General features: G+C 37.6%; 1 protein-coding gene across 1 annotated transcript in view; it reads left to right on the top strand.

The window, feature by feature from the left end:
* The window catches only part of TMEM74 (transmembrane protein 74), a 180,745-nt gene extending 164,498 nt beyond the window's left edge, over positions 1–16,247 (top strand). The window contains exons 3-4 of the transcript NR_136411.2: positions 14,271–14,345; positions 15,332–16,247. The gene's annotated coding sequence lies outside the window, so the exon portion shown is untranslated. The remainder of the gene's footprint in view (positions 1–14,270; positions 14,346–15,331) is intronic.
* Positions 16,248–23,781: the final 7,534 nt, after the last annotated feature.

Genomic DNA, 23,781 nt, shown 5'->3' with positions numbered 1-23,781 from the left:
AGTTTTTTTTCTCTGTGAAGGTAGAAAGCAGAATATTTGTAAAAGGAGAGGTTGGCAAAATAAAACCACACCACCATAGTTTTTCTGCCACTATTTTGAGAAAATTTATGATTTCTGATTCTAAACTTTAAGCAATTTGAATGTACATACCATATTACTTTAATCTTTGTATTCTTAGCACATAAAATATGCCTGGTGTACAGTAAGTATTTAATATATGTTTGTGAAGTGAATCAATAAGAGGAAAGAAAGGGGAAAAGAATTTTAATTTGACATTCTGAAATATGTAGCATAAAGTTGATTATGAAAGAAATTTAAGTCTCTTATTACTGTTTTTATTCAGATAGATTCCCATCCTCTCATTTCAAAATTTTATCCTTTAAGATAATCAAATTTACATTATACCAAACTATAAAATACTAAGATAACTTCACAGAATTCCCAAAATAAGTCATGGGGTAGAGGCCATTATTCCTCTTTTACAGAAAGCATATAACATAATGAGTTCAGAAAGGTTAAGTGATGCCCAAAGCCACAAATAGTGGAGCAGGAACTCAACACAAGCTTCAATTCTAAAGCCACCCTAAGTATACAGTATCTCAAGTGATGTCAGTGGAGGATAACATTTAGTTTGTTGCAGTGTTTTAATTGCATATAGTGGTTAAAAAACATGCATTGGTGTCAGCCTCCTATCCCCACAAATTACCAGTTGTGGGATCTTGAGCAAGCTATTTCAACTCTTTGAATCTGTCTCTTCATCTGAGGAACTGAGCTGACAACATCTACCCTATAGGCTTGGTAAGATAATATAGAGGGAGTTTCACCCATGTTCCATCAGTAGTGGTCATTGTCATGCATCATTGTCAATGTGATGGAATCTATGGGTGCTGTTATGTGAAGTTCTGAGGGTACCTAGACTGTTTATGGCAACATCAGCACTTCCGGGTTTTGAAAACTTATTCTCGTTTTGCCCTTTTATAAACTTTCACCTCTTAAAATTTGAATTCAAAATTTGAGTAGATTACGTGTTAAGATATATGTGAAATCCTGGGTTTGGAAGAGCAGAATTTGGTTGTGGAATGTAAGAGAAAGCATTCTAGTGAAAAAAATTCGCTAGGAAGATTTTTCTACATATGTAAATTTTAAAAGGCAATATGCATCTCCATCATGACCAGAAATAAGGAGTGCTTGAGTGCTTATTTTGTGCCTGGCTCTGTTGTAAATGCTTTGTGCGTATTCACTTTCAAAATTGACACCCACACACTTGAGGTAGGTTTTATTATTACCATCCTCATTTTACACAGATGGGGTGACAAGCACTAAGAAATTAAATAACTCAACCAAGTTCACCCAACTAGTAACAAAGATGATTTGAATGCAGAGCTACCTCCAGAATCCATGCTTGTGACTACAGTACAAGCTACACCTCAGCAGAGATGTCATGTTGCTAATCACCCACACGTCCACATGGATACAGCAAAGCACTTCTGTACTTTTCCCATCAAGTCTCCCATCATAGAACCCTGTGTAACAGACGCAGCTGATACCCTGCTTCATACTTCCTGGCTGTCTAGTTCACTTACAGCTACAGTAAAATTCACACAAAAAAATGGGCAACTTCCCACCTGGGCCTCTCTAGACCTTGCCCGAGGGCGTTTTCAGGGAGGGGGACCTGGAAGAAGGACCTACCAAAGACAGGCACAACCTAGAACTGCAGGAGACTTAAAAGCTCTCAGGTCAAACTTTAATTAATACAAAACAGGAATTGATAAATAAATACTCAGCCTCAGCCTCCCCAACCCATTCACTTTCTTGGAGAGTCCTCGGTGGAATTGAGTCTAGTGAGCCCACAGCAATAACTTGTTCATTTAAGCACCATGTATTGGCTCTTCACACTTCCCTGTTTCACTTCCCAAGTTCCTCCCTGTGTTTTCTGTGATCACCTCTTAAACAGACTACCTGTATCCAAGGCTTAGTCTTGGGGTCTACTTTGAGGCAACTCAAATCAAAACAAATTCAGCTGGGCATCTGGAAATTTCCTGCTATCTCAAATCTCATAGTTTCCTTGATGCCAACTCTACCTACATCTGATCACCAAGGACCAGGCATCATGGGAGCAGCAGGAGTGGCATGAGAAAAGGCTTCAGGAGACTTTAGATCCTCTGGATTCCTCAAACTGAAAGATAAACACTTCCTCTTACTGACATTGATCATTCTCACAATATCACTTCTATGTCATGATGCTAGTTTCTTTCTCTTTACTCTTACTAAGAACCTATCAAGGAGGCAAAGTAGGGATGTGAAAGGGGTGGGAAGAGAAGTAAACACTGTCCCCTCAGACAAGGATTCCAAAAATTGAAAAAGGATTAATAATCATATCATGAATGTGCTGTCATTAGGAAGCCAAATGTCCTTACTAAGCGATATCTTTCCGAGACTTCTGATTCACTAGAAAGAATATACACAAACCTGGAAACATACAGACCTGAGTTTAAATGCCAGCTTCACCACAAAGGATATGATCTGGAGCAAATCAACTTCTTGGGGCCTGATTTTTCATACATGTATAATGATGTGGGAATATCCGCCTTCTAAAATTGTTAAAGGCTTAAATGAGATCATGCATCTGAAAGTTGCTGACAGGTGTTTAATAAATATCTTTCCATCCCTACCCATATCCCATTACAACCCTCCACCCCACGGAGAAATAGCCATGGGCAATTTTCCTAACTCTACTCAATCTTACACGTGCAGAGATATCTGCTGATCTGTTGTATTAACCTCCTGGAAATTCTACATATTTATGGTCAAAAAATTTTACTCAATGATTATCTCTTTTTTGCCCATTATCTGCCAGATTCTTCAAGTTAACTAAGGTAAAGTAAAGAACTCAGAGAAAATGTAGATGAAAATAAACATCAGATTTTGAAACTATTGTATAACATACATGCATTAACATGGCCAGATATATGGAAAGTCAATTTAAGACAAACAGTGATAGCTGTACCAATGATAATAGCAAGGTAAATAAATAATTACCCCTACCTCTATGACAAATAGACTATTTTCCAACAAACTAATGCAAGAGAAGGAGGAGGAAGAAGAGGAAGAGGAGGTGGAAAAGAGGAAGAAAAAGAAGAGGCAGCAGTAGCAGCAAAAAGCATAGGCCATCTTTTGTCTCTGATTCCAACATAGACTCTCCTCCTTTTACATTTCTCCCACAAAGAGTTATGTGGTTCATACATTATATGAATCTTCGAAATACACAGACATTTAAAAGATTCAGCTGAAGATCTTACACATAAATGACTTTTTTACGTTTTGAACAACAGCAAAATGGTGTAGCTTCAAATTACAGAAGCATGCATATATGTAAATAACTGCTCTCCTGGGACATGAGGGCTGGACTCTGAGGCCTCCTTACTCTAGGCTTCAACTCTTTCAGAGCAGGAGCTATGCTTAAGCTCCTACTGGAAAGCTGGAGCTAGGATGAAAAATGTACTATTTGTTCCACCACTGCTCACCCACATACAGAGAGAAAAAGCACAAAGAGCTGTGGCCAGGGGTCTCCCAGCACCTGGCTTGCTGCACAGCCTGTCACATATGTCACAGTGGCCCATGCACTTCTTTGGTGACTGGAAATTGTGGAAAGTGGACAGGCTTCAGCCCTCTCACAGAGTCACACAACCGAAGCAACACCTGCATTTGCATGTGGAATTCACAGAAGATTCAGAACCGTCTGCAGGACATTTTCATGCCTTCCAACTTTCAGTAACTGAACTTCTTACTCTGCTTATTCTTGGACTTTTAAAAATTATTACTCAAAACTCCTAGTTGCTGTTTCTAGTTTCTATTCCTGGAAAGCAGTATTTTATTTTCTAATACTTATTTTGCCATTTGGATATAAAAACATAAATATCTGAATTTGAATACTTACCCTACCACTTAATAACTATATAAGCTCTCTGTATCTCAATTTCCTCACCTATAGGCTTGATGATATTTATGCAATAAAATTTTTCTCAAGATTAAATGAAAGTATAAAACTGTGCTATAAACTTCTATGTCTCATACAAATATAGAATAATAATTCTCCTTCTTAGAGATCAACACTTTTAGAAAGGAGACTACAGTTTACCAGGTTCTTGGATGGGGCCTGGGGTGTCTCATGCATTATCACCCTAACAAGTACTGGGCAATGATGCTGACAATGATGGTTCACTCTTGTGGGTCACATTTTGCTAACTGGGTGAAGCATTATGTCTGTTTTGTCCCATTAAGCCATTTAAAAATCAAAGCAGTACACAAGGTCACTGAATCATCCTTCTCTAGTTTAATAAAACATACTAAACATAAGTAACTCCTCTCAGAGCTGAGAAAGTAAATGGCATTTCAATTCATTTTCTGTGTCATCTTCTTCAACTAATATGTAGTGTTTTCAGTGCGTCAGTCCCTACAGACTGCACAGTGGTGGGAAAGATTTACCAAGCAACAACAAACAGCACAGAACCAAACCTTTACGGAAGTACTCCAGTGTACTGATAACCAGCCACAGAGCTACTTTCATATAGTACACAAACCAATACATTCAAGCTGAAACAGAAGAACCTTTATGATTGTCTATCATGTGGTTCCTTAGGTCACAGATGATAAAACTGAGAACCAGAGGAATAAGATTGTAGCAAAACTGATTTTCCATTTACAGTGAAGTTTGAGTTCCAAAACCAGCCTCAAGCAAAGACCTAACAAGGAAATTATACTCATCAAAATATACACAACCTAGGAACTGGTCAGAATCCCCACCAACAAAACCCTTTTTGCCCATTGCTACTGCTCCAAAATATTTCAGCACTAGAATCCATTCCATATATCATTTAAAATGTAGGCCTTACTTTCAAAATATAGCCTCTGGAGTTGATAAAAGAATCATGGAGTATATCAAAGGCAATAGGCATAAAAGGCTTTAAGTTGCTGTGAGAGAGGCAGTGAGGGAGAATGGGGTGCCTGAATCAGCTACTTCTGTCAATTTTAAAATACAGAGGACAAAAGCTTGTTGTGGGATGCAGTTTCTTCTTCATCTTTCTTCAAGGCAGTAAAGATAGGGATGAATCATTCATTCTTTTACCTGCACTATAAATCTTAGCATCACGACCCATGCTGGTGCTTCCAGGACACAAGCTGGGAGAATGGGGGTGGGGAAAAGAAAGGTCTCAGGAAAACTGCTTGAGGTATAGCGGGGTTCAACACTGGTAAACTTTTCTTGAAATTAGGGGAGTCCCAAGGCTGAATTCTCAAGTAGGTAAAATTTTTATTTTATATTTTTTCCTCCTCTTTCCAAGACCTTCTCTGAGGACTTGATTCCCCCACTTTCTCTCCCCCACATCTCCCTAGGGCTCCTTATATTCCATTCATTCCATTTTTATGGGGTCTGGGTTCTTCCTGTTAGATCAGCTGTAGGAAGATTAAATTTCTGCTAAATTATAATACCCCTCAGCTATATCTTCTTTTGAAATGATGACTCCCTATAAAACCAAGAAGCCTTCAAAAGCCAACCAAATGAGGTTTGAATGGAGGAATCTTAGACAGGCTGACAAATGGACAGGAGGTCCCCTTTAGACAGTGTGGGGTAGTGGGGCTTCCTACACCCCAGAATCAAAAGCATCTGCAATAGCAGCTGCTTCTGTGTGAGGTTCCAAATTTGTAGGATTTACTTTAAAACAAAAAGGTTATCAGTAGCATTAACACTGAGTTCATCAAAACTAGAGGAGATCCTGAAGAGCAACCCATAGGCCGTAGTACTACTTATGCTCCAAATTAATTAAGCTTCATGAAACCAAAGGACCAAACTAAGGAAAAGAGTAAACCTCACCCACATTGGCTCCTTCTACTTCAGGGCCTTTGCATCTGCTTGCGTTTGCATGAAATTCTTTTCGCAATGATACTCCTCAGTTCCTAATTTTGCCTCACTAACCCCTACTTATCTTTCAGTGATCAGGTGACATGTGACATCACGGAAGAGTTCCAAGATGCCGAGAATAGATCATCTCCTCTTCCACTCTAAATTGCTCTGCTCTACCACTATATATAAATATATAGTCAGTATATATAAATATAGTCACTATACTGACTATAAATATATAGTCAGTATATATAATATAGTCACTATATATAAATATATATAGTCAGATGACATTAACCAACTCCAGGTATCTTTATTTATAATAATCATCTAAGGGGGATCATTCACTCAGAATTTTACAAGAACAATACCATCTGTTGGCAACAATAGTGCTACATCATAGAGCAACAACTATGTGAAACTTAAATCAACTTAAGCACAAATCTACATAACAAATCAAAGTTCCAAGCATCAGCTTAGCAACAAACTTGGAAGCTAGTTCACTTCTAAGGTGGTATGTGTTGGTGTGTCTTCTTATGTTGGCATGAAAATCACTGTACGGTAAAGATCTTGTTAAGTGGAAACAGAAACGGAAGTGTTTTCCAAGAACATATATCTGCCATAATGCCAGATCAAATAATAAAATAATTCTTGCCCTATTTTATATATCAGAATTGCCTATTTAAAAAAATCTCTCCCAACCTTTCCACTAAATACTTATAAAATTTTTGGACAAAAATCATCTAATAAAATAAAATGAGTGCATGATGTCAGTTAAATGTTCAACTGGGATTCTACAATGCAGATTGTAGCTAAGCATTGTATTCCGCCTGATTTAATGTCATCTTATGGAATAAAGTTACTTTTACTGTTCTTTATTTGTTTACTTTGACATCAAAAGGAAACTGCAACAAATACGTAGGAAGTACCTGTGTGGAATGGTATGGTGTGCTGCCCAGATTCCCCTTCAGAAATGAGGAATTTATTTCCCCAGCTGCTGGCAGTACTGCCAGAGCACGGCCCTCTGCCATGAGCACTCTTGGAAGATCATCTCAGCTGAAGAAACACGCTTTGCCTAAGATCATGTCTACTTTCAAAAGAAGCTCCTATCCAGGCCAGGCGCAGTGGCTCAGGCCTGTAATCCCAGTACTTTGGGAGGCCAGGGCAGGCGGATCACGAGGTCAAGAGATTGAGACCATCCTGGCCAACATGGTGAAACCCCGTCTCTACTAAAAATACAAAAATTAGCTGGGTGTGGTGGCACGTGCCTGTAGTCCCAGCTATTCAGGAGGCTGAGGCAGGAGAATCACTTGAACCTGGAAGGCGGAGGTTGCAGTGAGCAGTGAGATCACGCCAAAAAAAAAAAAAAAAAAAAAAAGCTCCCATGCAATCCCAATCATTGCAGGTATATAAAAGCCCAGAAACCTTACCCCAACTCTAAAGTGTCATCCCACATCCAGAGCTCCCCACGGGACATGCTGAGGTCTTCAGCATGATAAACCTTCTTATGCTGGTATGAACATCACGTTTCAACTTCTCTCTCTACAGAATTCTGTTTTCTTCTTCTCCCTTCCACCGGTATTGATCTCCAGGATGCTTCCTAATAAATGTCTTGCACATTAATCTCCATCTCAAAATCTCCTACTGGGGAATGCCACCTACAACAGCCTGGAAGTAAAAACCCTAAACAGTTACAGTTGAGTAGTTGTCAATAGAGAAGTGGCTGAAAAGTAAGGGCCTGTTAACTGGAACCTCAGCTGCTTCTTCCTGTCCAAGGGCTTTGGTTTATGTGGTTGGAAGGTTGAGGTGAGTGAATTTCTATGAGGGAAATTTCCTAGGAGGCCACTTTCTAGTATACAAATGTGTCTTGTTTAATAATGGTCTGAGTGCTAACCATTCCCTAGGTGAAGGCTTTGCTACCAGGAGATATGTGGCCTCTAGGCCTTTGAGCCTATGGCTGTCCCTTCCAAGCCATCCTTGGAATTGGTCTTTGCCCTCTCTGTAGCTTCCGTCCCTCTGGGCTGTTCAGCGTCTCCTGGGATAGAAAGGGTAGGAACTGATGATTTATTAAGCCAGTTTACTTTTCTATGTATCCCCTCTAACAAACTGAGAATGGAAAAGAATGACACTTTCAGTTTATTTCCCCTCTCATTCAAGAGAGTCCAGAATATTGACCTTTCAGTATTGTATGCTTTGGTCTCATATTATTTTAATAATGCAGTTTTTATTAGTATGGTGCAGGTCTCAGAACATTCTATTCATACAATTCTATACTTGAAATAAAAATATAAATTTAATTACATTATACTACTAACACCTATTTGATTATTGTATTTTGTTTGTTTTTTTGTTCATTCATTTATTCATTTTACTTGACATATATTTATTCAGGCTCTTCTATGAATCACATGCTTTAATATTCCTGTGAAGTAAATGTAACACTCAATGCCCACCTGCTGGCCCCTCACCCCAATGCAGTGCTCCTGCTAAAGTCAATTTTATTTTTGAGTCCTAACTTTGAGTTTCTCACAAAACCCCCCACAGCTACACAACTCATCTATTATCAGGATCTATGTGAATTCTACTAAAACATTGCAGATGGTTTAGTAGCATTCACATGTTACATAAGTTTGATTTCTCCTCCCTCTTCCTACAGGAATTTTCACAGTCGAATATTCTAGGTCATTCTTTCTGGAATCTGTAAACCTATTCCTCCTTTCATCTTGCTTTCTTGTCTTTGCGAGTCTTGTTTCTATTCCCTTTTAGCCTCTCACCACTATTAGAACATTTCCTTGAGAAAATTATTCTTAAAATTAAGCTAAAAAATATCAAATCCCCTTGATATGCACTCAGGGGTATTGGAACTAAGGGATATAAGAAGAAAATATTGATTTAAGATTAATGAAAATGGGAATGACTTTAGTTTGGGCTAAAGCATAAAAAAGAAGAAAAGGGAAAGAAAGGGCAGCAGTATTGCAATATGTTGAACTGAAATTGTTGCATAAATATTTTTCATTCACAACTTTTTATTGATTTTTAAACTGACAGTCTATAACATTGCATAATAGCTTATTTAATCTTTTTTATTAAAAATTGTCTTATTAAAGATTATTTCAGTTCATTTATATTTAAAAAAATACCCCATACAAAAAAAAAAAAAAACCTTATGAAAATGGTACTTCTCCCAATATTCTCAAAAATTGAGTATTATGTGTCAGGTTCCTAAATGCTCCACATACAATAATACAAGGAAATTTTTACTCTTATTACCCCATTGGAAGATGAAGTAAACTGAGACTAAGAAAAATGAGGTAATGTGCTCAAAGTTTCAGTCAAGGGATTTGAATTCAGGTAATCTACCTTGTAGTTTATACTCCTCATTAGGACATGATACTGTCCCATTTGATGTAAGGTCTAGAGCCCTGGGGAATGTGTCTAGCCAAGATGAAAAGCCAATCAGAGTTTGTGGGTTTGGACTTTGAAAGTGAATTCAGACCTCTTGGCATTTGCATTCTCTTTGTGGTGGACAAAATGCAAACTTCTATTTGAAAAAAGGGAAACAACGTGGTCTAAATGGCTTCAAGGTTTTTGAACATCAAACAGTTTTTACCAAAGAACAGTAAAATCACTGAAGTGTATCCAAATAAAAAAATACGTGGATTTGACAGCAATCTGATTCACAAAATACCCAGAGCCATTTCGTGATTATCATAGTTCCAAGTTAAATAGAAAGCTCTGTGTTGTATTCTTCTCTCCCATTAATTGATTCCTGATTGGATATTCCTGATCTTCTAAGAGCATGCCAGTGGGCACACATGGGGAGCTTCATCATTCAGGAAATGATGTTGGTGGGACCCAGAGGTTTGGCAGGGTGAGTGGCTTGGGGGCAGCCCTGGCTGGAGCTGCCTCCTCTCATATGGTCCAAGTCAGTAGCACCAACTGAAAGTAGGCACTTTCAGTATGGAAATTTCACAATGGTTGAATTTTTTTTCCCCAGTCCTTCAAAGTCTGTGGTTGAAGAAGTGGGCAAGTAATTTGTGCCTGCAACTTGGTAGTGTAGGCAGCTAGGATCAAAGTAAGGGAAATTGTACAAATTGTCCATTTGAATATGAAAGAAGTAAAGAAAACCCAGCCAACTCAATCAAATACTGCTTTTTTTCTTTGAATTCTTTATTTTTATAATTCAGAAGTTTATGTTTTTCAATGGCTGGGTAGCAAAGTGGCAGAAGTGGCAAGATTTTGAGATTGCTACTAGAAAACCTGACTTAGAAAGCAGAAGACTGGACTTTTTATTATTTTAATGCCAATGAGGCATAATTCAAATAATCATGTCAAGCAAATTTAGGCTTTAATGACTTACAGAACACTGAGTTAGGGAATAGTTCTTCTTCAACTTGAAGAAGAAACTAGAGCCAGGATGCAGCTGGAGCATAAAAACCTCACAAAACACATTTCTTATCTTAAAACGAGAGAGCTGAACCACCTTCTCTAATGCTCTTTCCCATTCTAACATTCCTTGACCCTATTTTATACTAAATGCATGTGTGGAGCTGGATAGGTCACTTTAGCTTTAGTCTAAAGGCTTTTGATAATGCATCATAGAGTCCACCAGTTCTTAGATTGACTCCTGTTAAAGCTCTGATCTTGTAGAACATTCCAGAGCCCAACACTGAAAGTGAGATAAACTAGATTTGACCCAGATCTGACATTGGTTAGCTACATGCAATTGGCAAGCAACTAGTTTCATTTCTTAATCTGGAAAATGAGACTAATACTTTCCCTTTAATATTTGGTTATCAAATAATCACCATTTGTTATTCTTATGACCCTTCATAAAATTATGTTAAATATTATTTTAATTATTTTAATATTTCTTGAAGTAGAATAATGTTAAGTAGGTTTTAATATCTTTAACATCAAGGAATCTATGAAATATAGACAGCATCCTTAATACCATTTTTTTTTAACATAGAAATAATGTGAGATTAAAGAATCCAAGAATCAGTGCCTGATATAGTTTGGCTGTGTCCCCACCTAAATCTCATCTTGAATTGTAGCTCCCATAATCCCCAAATGTCGTGGAAGGGGCCCATTGGGAGGTGATTGAATCATGGGGGTGGTTACCTCCATGCTGTTCTCATGTTAGTGAATGAGTTCTCAGGAGATCTGATGGTTTTATAAGGGACTCTCCTCCTTTTGCTCGGCACTTTTCTCTCCTACCGCCCTGTGAAGAAGGATGTGTTTGATTCCCCTTCAGCTGTGATTGTAAGTTTCCTGAGGCTTTCCAAGCCATGCAGAACTGTGAGTCAATTCAACCTCTTTTCTTTATAAATTACCCAGTCGTTGGTATTTCTTCATAGCAGTGTGAGAACAGACTAATACAGTGCCTTAAAAAATACATATAAGTCATGAACAAGTATTTGAAGATATACCTTCTGGTGATAGATGACATATCAGTTAATTGACAGAAAAATTTAGTCACACTATTTACCTGGCATTGTTAATTAATTGGAAAGGAGATGAAACCAAAGACGTTGCTGAGGAAGAATTAAAAATCGGCAACAACACATATAAAAGTCCTCACTTAACCAAATTCTGTCACCAGCTCTTATTTGTGTATTGAATCTCATTCCAGCAAGAGCACTATCTATTAATTTGAAACACCATTATGTTTTCTATGAGCACAACTGTATCCTAGAAAACTAAAAAATACCCCAAGGTTCTATAATATGAAATACTAACTATAATTTACTTGTGATGAATAATTAGTATGTTGGAGAGGTCAGAAACACTTTATTCCCAGATATTTTACATGACTTGTTTGTATCTTCTTGTACCCTAGCTTAGGAAAGTTAGTGATTCAGATTTATTGTTCTTAATGTCTCCTATAAAGTCTTTATCTAAGTTTATTTAAACTCCTAAATCTTTGGAAATGGAAATGGGAAATTTCACCTACTGCAGATATACACCCTATACTTTAATCCATGGATCTCAGATACATTTCTAACATGACCAAATTCTCATTTACTTCATGTTTAAATGAAAATACTCCATATTTACATGCTTTAAAACTCCAGAAATTGAGGCAAATATTGACTGCTCTGGATAATAGTTGTTCAGAGACTAAATGATTCATATAATCCCACATAGAATGTAGTATATTTTGAGGACAGGATCAGGTTTTTCACATTTTATCCAGTCCTTTCCACTCTCTGAGCACCATTCATCCAAAATTTCCCCAGCACAAATGTATCATACCTTGAGCTCTGTAAATGAGGCAGAGTGAATAACTGAATTGGTATTTTAATTTCCACTTCAAATATGTTGGAAACATTCATGTGAGTTTTGTCTTTGCTCAAAACCCTCTAGTGGCCTCTCATACAACTTATTCAGAGGAGAAGCCAAAGCCTGTGATCCTTTAAGCCCCCTCCTGTTTAGCCTTTCTCCCCTACCTGCTGTCCTCTGCTCTTTTCATGGCCCACTCCATTGCTAACCCAGACACACTTCTACTTCAAGTCCTTTCCAACTGCTGGTTCCCCAGCCTGGACACTTTTTTTCTAAGGCATTCCTGTGGCTGTTCTGTTTCCTTGACTCTTTAAGTTCTACCCAAATGTCACATTCTCAACTAGGCCTTTTCTCTCCACTTTTTCAAGAATTTTACCCATTTTCCCACATTCTCTTTTTGATACTTAATCACTACTTGATCTATTATACAAGCTATTTTATTTATTATCTTTCTACTGACTGTACCCTCCAACTAGAATGTAAGATTCATGAGGGCATAGATTCATGTTTCTATTTTTTCACAACATATTTAGCACTTAATAAATATTTATTGAATGAACAGATGCATTTCTGGAGGTCCATAATTATAATTTAAAAAGAGCATTTACACAAACTGGCACTAAATAGGTAGAGTCAGCACCCTTATCTCCCCCCATCTCGGGGAAGGATGATCTCAGTCCTTCTCAATATTAATTTCAGTAAGTTTTCTCTTTTACCTGCTAAATTCACATTTGTGCTCCTTCGATAATCTTCATCAGAATCAACTTGAATCTTTGTTGAAAATGCAGGTTCCTAGGTCCTAGTTCAGGTCAAAATCTTTGGGTAGGGGATGGGACATTTGTAACCTATATTTTTAATGATCTTTTCAGGTGGTACTTAATGCACACTAAAGGGCGACAGCCACTGACAGAAATATTTTTGGCCCGTTTATTTTCTTACTATCTTTCTTCTTCTGTTCTGAGCTCTGTGTTAGGGTATACCCTAGCCAATGTCAGTCTATGTAGTAGGGACCATATCCACATGGTTCTTCTTAAATTATGCTGAGTACAAGGACACACATGCTTAAGCAATTGCTTGAAGGATTTTAATGGAAGGGATGAGCAGAATGACAATAATCATTGCAATGAGGTTTATTTTGACCCTCACATTCTTCCTTTTTACTAAATAGGGTTTAGGAACTAAATTACTTTCAAGTCTGTTTGTTGTTGCAATGATAAAGGCATTTTCCTGCTTTTCATAAACATCTATCATGTCCAAGCTTCTGAATTTTTTTTTCTTGCTCTGTCACCCAGGCTGGAGTGCAGTGGCATGATCTTGGCTTGCTCCAACCTCTGCCTCCTGGGTTCAAGCTATTCTCATGCCTCAGCCTCCCCAGTAGCTGAGATTACAGGCACCAGCCACCAAGCCCAGCTAATTTTTATATTTTTAGTAGAAATGGGGTTTCACCATGTTGCCCAGGCTGGTATCCAATTCCTGACCTCAAGTGATCCACCCTTCCTGGGCCTCCAAAGTGCTGGGATTACAGGTGTGAGCCACCACACCCAGCCCTGAATATTTTAAGAATAGTTTAACTTAAACACGTTAAACTTAAACAAGGTAAACAGTTGGACTCAGGTTCAGCTGCTTCTCTCCTGAAAGAACTTATTTTAGATGAAATTTCCAGTTAATATTCAGAAATCAAATAAATCTTACCAATACATCTTACCTCATTCAATCCTTTGAAATCTATAGAGAAACTTCAGCCTTGCTTATGTGCATTCTCAGAAGGATTTATCTGTATAACTCTTTGTCTCCAATGATCAAAGAGGGAAACCATAAACTTTGCAAGACCTTTTATAAAACCTAGCTTCAAACTGACTCAAGGTTTTTACAGTGAATATGGGGTTTTACAAGGCAAGAGGGAAATAAAATTTGTTTATTTTTTTATTTGTTTGTTTACCTAAGCAGCATACACATTTTTCATACAATTTGGGTTTGGCATTACCCACAATGCATCTGGCCAAACACTTTTTTTCCTTAATTTTTATAACCAGAGAAATTTTCAGAGAAATTTAATCCACATGTTTCTGATTCATTCCATATCCAGTAATGTTTCAGTGAAGGATGTTTGATTCCAAGACCTCTGGAAAAGATTCTTTATCTACAGTTTCTAAGATGGCAGGTAAGTGAGTGTAAATAATGGGCTCACTCAAGGTGGGAGATCAGGCACTACAAGACTGACACAAAACGCAATGAGCCAAACAGCCCTAAGGGACAAGTTTCCTCAAGGTTCTGGGAAGTTGAAGTAGCCTATTTTGACCTCAAATTCCAAGTGTGGTTAAACCAGTATTAGTTTACCAGCAGGAGCAATTCTATTTGCATAGAAACTCTACTCCAAAGGCTTGAGTGTTCAATATTTATTGCATATTTAATATGTGCCAGGTATTATTGCCACAGTCCACGGGGAAACGAGAGATGAATACTCTCTCTTACTGATCTGAGTACTGACCTCAAAGAACTTCTAATTTAGTAGGTGGGAATAAGATCCAGTGAGTCAATACCAATGTTCTTCTTAAACCTGTAAGACAGACTGTCTAGTTCTTTTTTTTTCTTTTTTTCTTTTTTTTTTTTTTTTGACAGAGTCTTGCTCTGTCACCAGGCTGGAGTGCAATGGCACAATCTCGGCTCACTGCTGCCTCCGTCTCCCAGGTTCAAGCGATTCTCCTGCCTCAGCCTCTCGAATAGCCGGGACTACAGGCACGCACCACCATGCCCAGCTAATTTTTGTATTTTTAGTAGCGATGGAGTTTCCCCATGTTGGTCAGGCTGGTCTCGAAATCATGACCTTGTGATCCACCCGCCTCGGCCTCCCAAAGTGCTGGGATTACAGGTGTGAGCCACTGCGCCTGGCCGTTTAGTTCTCTACATAGCCTACATCAGCAACCTCACTCAAATCCTAATACACAAAAATACATGCATAGACACATGTGCACACATACACATACACACAGGATTGTAATCTTAGATCTCGATAGAACTAGAATATTTTATTCAATTTAACCAAAATCTATCTTTTCATCACACATAGCATACAAAGCATTTTAAACATGATACATGTTAAGTGAATAAAGTAATATAATGCAATCCATTTTCTTGCTTGTTTTACAGATTTGCAGAACTTAAAAGAATACTGTAAGATTGGGATTGATGCCACCTGAAAGTGAAGAGCCAAACTGAAAACGTCATAAGTGTCTTAAGAAGTTCGACTTTAAACTAAATTCAAGGCCATTTATGGACAGAATACCATGGTGGGTGGTGTCATCACTATATGTGATACAGCAAGAGCTTCTACAATATAATTAGTGATTATTGCATTCAATTTAATCAAAGAATAGTTTACCATAACACCAACAGGCCATCATTTTATAGTTATCAGGTGGACCAGAGACCAGAATCTAATTGCGCAGATTCTCTTAATAAAATGTTAGTCTATATGTTTGTTTATTGGCTGGTTGGTCTAAAGTGGTTGGTTTATTCATTTTAGACATTCTAATTTTTGACTCCTCGATGTATATATTGTGCATTTTACGCCAATGCACTTTCAAATGAAACTGTTGAATTTCCTCTGCAGATTAGTTAGATTATATTTTTCAAAGGGGACCTCAACAATGATACACATTCTGCATGCTCTCCTGTCATGTGACCTTGTCCAATTCTGAACATCAAAAGCTGGAGTGTATTTCTTCACTTCCTTGAATCTGGGAGGCCCTGTGATTATTTTGACCAATAAAGCACAGGGTTGAAGTGTGATCACATGCAAGAAATGTGATTACCCCAAGATTACTGCACTGTGAGAAGCCCAAGCCAAGTGGAAAGGCTCTGGACGGTGAGTTGCCATGCAGGCAGAGGCAGGCCAAGGAAAACCATAGCACCTGACAGTGAATGAAAGTCATCTTGGAGTATATCCTCCAGTCCCACTGCCTCAGCTGACACCATAGGGATAAAAGACAAACCACCCAGTCAAGCTATTCCTGAGTTCCTTACCTCCAAAACCATGAGTACAATAAAATGGATGATTTAAGCATCACGTTTTGGGGTGGCTTGTTATGACACAATAGATGACTGAAACAAAGACTTCTAGGGAGCTTTCTGCACTCTTTCCAAACCTGTACTCAAATGTGAAAAGGAAAACTTAAGAGTTACAGAAGTCAAGGTCAGCATACTGAAGAAGTTTGAAATCTAGTGAGTGCCACAACGTGTAAGACTATATAGGGAGATGATCAACAAAGAAACAAATAAGAACAAGTCATAAAATATTAACGGTAATAAACAGAATCCCCAGAAACTTTGGGGATGAAAGAGATAATCAGTGCTCTGACTTGAGTACAACCATCAGATAAGGCTTCTCATAAGTAAATTGCATCTTTAAATAGAGGTGGGTTAGCATTGTCAGAAAGAGGGTAGACGTTTCTTGAGGAAAATAGTATGAGTGAAAGATAAAAAGAGGAAAGATAAAGAAGGAAGGGGAAAAATAGAAGAAAGGAAGAAAAAAGGATCAAGAAAAATAAAAGGGAGATTAAGAGGAACCATCATAAAACTGGTTTGGCTGGAATGAGGAGCAAATTGGGATTGGAAAAGTGTATTTTAGACAAAAAACCCATTGTATTCGAGGTAGATGAATAAACACAAATACTTACACAAATATATATATACACACAGTGAGTTCTAGCCTAAGGAGCTAAAAAAACCACACAAAAGCTTGTCCTAAATCTTAAGGCATCATACCCCTAATTTGGATATGAGTTTGATTTCACAAAGCAAAAACATAAAATAAATAATTAGATGTCACACTGTTTTACCCAAACAACCACATTTGCGTATATCACCAGTGAGGGTGCCAGCTGCACCAAATGTCACCAGTTAGCAATCAGCCTTGGGAAACCTTGCCCCACTTTACAAGGTTCCTAGAACTGGCTATACACAGGAATCTAAGAAGCAAGTAGCATATTTAGTAGGCTTTCTTGTCCTGCTGATGCCTTCAAATAACAGTTATTTATGCTGCTATTGAAGACTTGGGAAATATTGAGTAGTGTCACTGGACTTATTAATATTTGGCTGCACAATGAACCTTAGACATCATCTTAGTTCAACTGCCTTTTGCAAGTGAAAAATTGTGGTACTCAGATTCGGCCTGTTTAGGGGCAGAATCATAACTTGAACTCAGACTTCTGCAAGTCAGTTTAACACCCTTCCTCAAAATAAATCTTGATATTCACCCTGAGGATTCTGTCAACATATCTAGGAGGAAGTATAGGATAGTGAAAAAGAACATCAGAGTGGGGTCCAAAGACCTGGGTTCAATTCTTATAATCCCTATGAGATATTAAGGAAGTAAGTTTCTTTCTTTCTCTAAGTATCAGCGCTCTCTTTGAAAAATGGATATTCATTTGTTCAGTCATAGGCCAGATACTGTTCTAGGAATTTATGATACATAATGAACAAAACTATAATCAATGGTCTTATAGAGCTTACATAAACATAACAAACAATAATAAAACAAAGTAACATGATCTGGATTACCCTGGCTGCTGTGTTGAAAACTGATTTTAAAGGGTTAAGAGGCCAGTGTAATCCCAGCACTTTGGGACGCCAAGGCTGGTGGATCACGAGGTCAGGAGATCGAGACCATCCTGGCTAACACGGTGAAACCTCGTCTCTACTAAAAATACAAAAAAAAATTAGCCGGACGTGGTGGCGGGCGCCTGTAGTCCCAGCTACTCGGGAGGCTGAGGCAGGAGAATGGCGTGAACCCAGGAGGCGGAGCTTGCAGTGAGCCGAGATCGCGCCACTGCATTCCAGCCTGGGCGACAGAGGAAGACTCCGTCTCAAAAAAAAAAAAAAAAATGGTTAAGAGCTGCTGTAGGAAAACAAGTTAGAGGCTATTGCAATTATACAGTAGCAGGTGAGTGTGGGCTAGACTTGAGTGAAAAAAATAGAGGAAGTGGAAGAAAGTAGTTAAATTCTGGATGTATTTTTACTACAAATCCAACAACATTTTCTGATGGATTATAACATGGGGAGTAAAGAGAAGGGTCAAAGGGACTTGAAAATTAGGGACCTGAGCAACTGGAAAGATGCAATTATCATCAACTGAGATGAGAAACGTTCTGGGTGGAAGAGGTGTGGGAATAATGTCTGGAGACTATTTATAGGCATTTCAAAATTAGAATATCTACAAGGTAGCCTAGCAGAGATGTTGAGTGGAAAACTGTATATTCAAGTCCAGAGTTTTGACTGGCTGAAGATGTTAGTATGGGAATTTTCAGCATATAGATAGCACAGTCTACTTGGTTGCTGCAATTGCATTGGGTAGCACATCCAGAGGGAGAGGTAAGTCTGTTAAAATAACATTTTTAAGGAGTAAAAACCACCTGATTTTGTTCCATTCTGAAATCAAAAATCTTGCTTGAAAGAATGAAGGATACTCTGTCAGTTATCTAATTGTAATAACCGCAAGGATCCTTCATTTTTAGACTTAAAGATAACAACAAAAAGTAAATAAATGTAAATGGCTAAAAGCACATTATATACTGAATGCTATATGCATTTTACTAAAATGTTGATTCAGGCATAGATTTCAAAATTAATTTCAAATTATTTACAGTGTATTTCTTATGTCAGTTTCTAGTTCCTCCTTACAAAGCTTATAAAAACTTTTATCCAGTTATGCCTTAAAAAGTAGGCAATAACCATATTTCTTCCTCTGTTTTCCAGTTTCTGATAATATACTTCTTTATGTCTCCAATCTTCTTTTCCTACTAATCTCTACTGGTAAATGTCTTAGCCATATCAGTCTCCTTACAAGTCAGAGATTTCCGAGTTTTTGTCTGGGCATTGAAGTCAAATTTATTCTTACATAGTAAGTCACAGGATTACTGAAGAGCTTTCTTTTTTTTTTAGAGACCTCTGCAAAATGCTGATGACCTGACTGCTACTAAAACTCTATTCTGCATTTCTATTATCTTGGCGCTCTAAGTTTTTTGTTTTTTCTCTGCTTTTGACCAATTATTTGATTATTGGGGGTGGGGGTTGTTGTTGTTTGTTTGTTTGTTTCCTGCCTCCTTCCACAAAGATTTTAAGGATGGTTTCAATCATGTATCCAATTTGAAAGGCTATCATAAATATATGTCGTACAGCAGAGCTTTCCAGTGGTATGCCATGAATGCTTTTCTGGTACACAAACATGCTGACCTCTTGGCTTTCAGGGAAGCAAAGTATAGTTGGGTGGCCCAACTCTGGATTGATTCCCTCCAGCCATAAGCAGTCATTTCTGTTTTCCTCGGCATATGCTATCGTTTGAATGTGTCTCCTCCAAAATTCATGTATTGACACTTAATAGTAAATGTGGTAGTATTAAGAGGTGGGACCTTTAAGAGGTGACTTGGGTCATTAGGGCTCCTCCTTCATGAATGAGATTAAGTCCCGGAGAAAAGAGGCTTCAGGCAGAATTAAGCTACTCCTGCCCTTCTGCCCTCCACCATGTGAGGATGCAATATTCTTCCCCCTGGAGGAGTCAGTGATAAGGCGCCATCTTGGAAGCAGAGAGAAGCTCTCACCAGACACCAAACCTGCTCCTGTCAGCACCTTGATTTTGAACTTCCCAGCCTCCATAACTGTGAGAAAATAAATTTCTTTTTTTTTATAAATTACCTAGTCTCAAGTATATTTTGTTGTAGTAGTGCAAAGAGACTAAGCCTGCCATGTAAGTACGAGCATTTTCTTTGTTTCTGAATTAATGAAATTTAGAAAGGTAGTACCTTAATAAACTTTCTGTTTTAAGACATATTAGTTCTTGGGATCTAATGTACAGCATGGTGACTATAGTCAATAATACTGTATTTTTTACTTGAAATTTGCTAAGAAAGTAGATTATAAGTGTCCTCAGCATTGCCCTCCCTCCTACTCCCCACACAAACATACTCACAAAAGGTAACTATGTATGGTGATGGTGTGCTGATGAATTTGATTGTAGTAATCATTACACAATGTATATGTATATCAAATAATTACTTTATATAGCTTGAATAGATACAATTTTCTCATGTTAATTACACCTCAATAAAGCTGGCAGGAAAAAAGAAAAAGGATACTCTATAGTAAAAAGAAGAAAGAAAGGAAGGAAAGAAAAAAGGAAGGAAGGAAAGGATGGAGGGAGAGAGGGAGGAATAATCTAAAAAGTTGCTAGAAACAACAATACTCTTAGTGGCCAAAGCAAAAAAGGAGCCACATAAGATTTCTTTTTAAAAAAAGAATTGTTATCATGGAGAGGTCAACCTTTTCTCTAAGAAAACTAAAATAACTTTTCTATGGCTCACTTTTATGTAGTGAATAATGTCCTAACAATGCACCAACAATAGAGACAACGATTAATTTTGAATACGTATTTCTATGGTGTCTTTCAATATAGGATGAGGCACAATGCTGAAACACTGTTTACTCAAATTCGTTTTATAATGACTTACAACAATATAGCATTACTGCCCCACTCTTGGTAGTGTTCTTTAAAAAGAAATATTGAAATATATTGAAAGTCCTTTAGATATTTTTCCATAAATATTATCACAAATAACTTTTCTTTTTTAAATAAAAATTGATAATTGAAGAGTTCAAAGAACATTCCTCAGGAATGAATTCAGTACAAATATTTTGTGTTACATATTTAACAACCAACTATGCAGAAAGTAAGGTTAACATTTTCTTGTGAAGAATCTAATCAAGACACAAATCTGAATAAAAGGCCACCTCACTTGAATGGCCAAGAACTTACATGCAGTACCAACATTTTTCTTTTGCAACAGGCCTGGTTTTAAGCCACAGATGGATGAATGGCTAATCAAAACTTTAAACTTCTAGATCCTATATGGCATGCCATAAGAATTTCAGCTGTGAATTGCCATCATCTCTCAGAATAATATAAAGCCAATTATAATAATTCATTATAAGGATAATGTCTAATTTCAGAACAGTCTATGCTTGTGCTTTCTGAGATGAGTTTTCTGTATCCTGGGGTAAATAAATGTCTTATTTTGTACTGAACTATTGGATAGAAACCAAGTAAATATCACTTGACATCTTGCAGGATGAATGAGTTGAATATCAGAGTGTTGATCTTAAACCATCCTTTTTGACCATAACGTATAGCAAGACTAGCTGAATATGGTGGTTATTTCTAGAGTGTAATAATAAAATCCAATCCTCAGTAATTGCTCAAAATAACCAGCATAGTTGAATGTTTACAGCGTGACACATTCTGTTCTAATTGCTTTAAATATATTAACTCATTCAATCCTCACGACTCTTTGAGGTAAATACATTAGGATTCTCACTAAGGAAATTCAGATACTGGGAGATTATTTCATTTGCTTAAGATTACATAATTAGAAAGCAGGGAAGCTGAGATTCTAAACATGGCAGTCTGATCCTACAGTTTACATTTTCATTATCATTTTATACTTTCCAGTATACAGAAGAATTATCTTTCCGGTCTTATTACAAGGGAACAACAGCCCATCTCATTTAAGCCAGATCATATCCTTAACAAACAATTAGAAAGGCATAGAAACTAAAAAACTCATCATTAAAAATTGCAATTATTTCTGCCTTTTCTGTAGTCTATCCTGGTGTTTTCTGAAAACTAAAGTCTATCCTTGTGATTGGCCTTTGGCCTCCTTCTCCTTCTCCTTCTTCTCCACCTTCCCCTCCCCTTCCCCTCCCCCTCCCCCTCTCCCTCCTCCTTCTCCTTCTTCTTTTTTTATAAAAAATCATAACTTTCGAATTGGGATCCTTTCTAATGGGATCCTTTCTAATTGGGAACCTGTTTAGTCTTTTTTTCTGATAGGCAAAAACCTGCATAGCAGAGCTCTGTTAAATTGTCTCAGAGTGCAGAAACTACAGATAATTAAGGTTTAATCAAATTTCATGTTAAAAATTATACAAGCTATATTTTAAAAATGAATTCTGCAAGAAAGTTTTCAGTAAGCCCATGTGATGCTTTGAAAATATTATTCAATGGTTTGGGATTTTGAAGGTCCTTTTCACATTTGGGTAAAAAGACTGTCCATGAATTAACTGTCATTGACTGTCATTATCATATGACATTGTCGATGTCCTAACCGTCATTGACTCTTGCTGTCAATGAAGTCTTGGTGTTTCCTAAAAATTACACTGAGAATTGAAACACTTTAAGTAGAAAATTATTACTTAACAAGGTGTCTTATCAAAGTTGGTGGGGGAATTCTGTCACCTGCACAGTTGTTTCCATTCATTCTATCACAAAAGAGATAACAGCTGAGATGGAAGAGAAATCACTGATAAATGGCACTGTAAAATGATTTCCTGACATGCAGAAAAGAGTTTTGTTGACTGTTCAGAGACATTTAGAATAGGTCCATTTGTCTTTATGTGAAAACTGTTTCCTAATGGTAATGAAAGGATCATATTACAGTACAAAAACATTTTTTGAGAGCCTTTACAGTAAAGAATTACTGTGTTTGTCTTTCGTCAGAGTTCTTTTACTCCTGTTTGCTTTTCCTTTTTAACTCCTTTCTCCAGCTTTGCATGTTTATGTTAGGTTTTTATTCTGTGAGAGTGAAGAATGAATCATATAGGTAACTCTCATCTTCAAACAACAGAATGGCAAAGATAGAGGGGAAAAAGAGAAGTATCAGAAAAATTATCACAGAAGTTCACTTGCTATCATGAAAACTGAGACTAGACCCAGTCTCAGAGAAAAAAAGAACTGGAGAGCTGAAGATTTCACTTAAGTGATAGCAGTCTGATTTACCAGGACAGGAGACAACTAACTAAATAATAAATTACAAGTTTTATTTATTTCATATTAATTTTATATAATACCTGTTGCCTCTTTTTTTTACCTTATTTCAAGCATTTTATTCGGTCATAGGGATAAAATAATCCATGAAAATTGGACTCTGCCCTCAATTTGCTCACAATTTAGAGGGCAAGTATACTAAATAAACAATTGATATTAATTTCACAGTCATAGACTCAGTTATGCAAAACTGGAATTTCCAGGGCAGCAGTGGAAAGCTTAATCTAGCCTGTTTCAGACACTTCCAGTTTAAAACTTAGTTTCTTTGTTGTTCACGTGTCAGTTAATTCAGGGATTTCACTCCCCACTTGTCCTTCCCTTCTACTTGGGTGGTGTCTGATGTTGGAGGAGGCTCAGACACCACGGTATCCAGGAAGTTGGAGGTGGGAGGAGTGGGCACATGTCCAATCCATAGTAATCACCTGGCCTCCCTGGGCCCTGCTGAGGTTTAATGTGTCTAGCCTGTTCTTGGCCATTGGCCACTGAACTCACTGTTTCTGGAAGCTGATGAGACTTGGGGTGCTGTGTGGCATCCAGTAGCAAGGGCCACACAGTTTGTGTTCCACAAGACCTCTTCTGGGCAGCTTTTCTCCCTCCCCTTTTTTTCTCATGGTTATGGGAAAATGTTGAATATTCTCCCAGAGAGTTTGGAGGCTTGTCTCAGGTCATCTCTCCACCATTCCCTGCCTTTTTGCTTTGCTATTCCAACCTCTGTGTATCCTGGATG

Source organism: Homo sapiens, chromosome 8 (assembly GCF_000001405.40).
Source record: "Homo sapiens chromosome 8, GRCh38.p14 Primary Assembly".
Taxonomy (NCBI): domain Eukaryota; kingdom Metazoa; phylum Chordata; class Mammalia; order Primates; family Hominidae; genus Homo; species Homo sapiens.
This window is presented reverse-complemented; position numbering and strand designations above follow the sequence as displayed.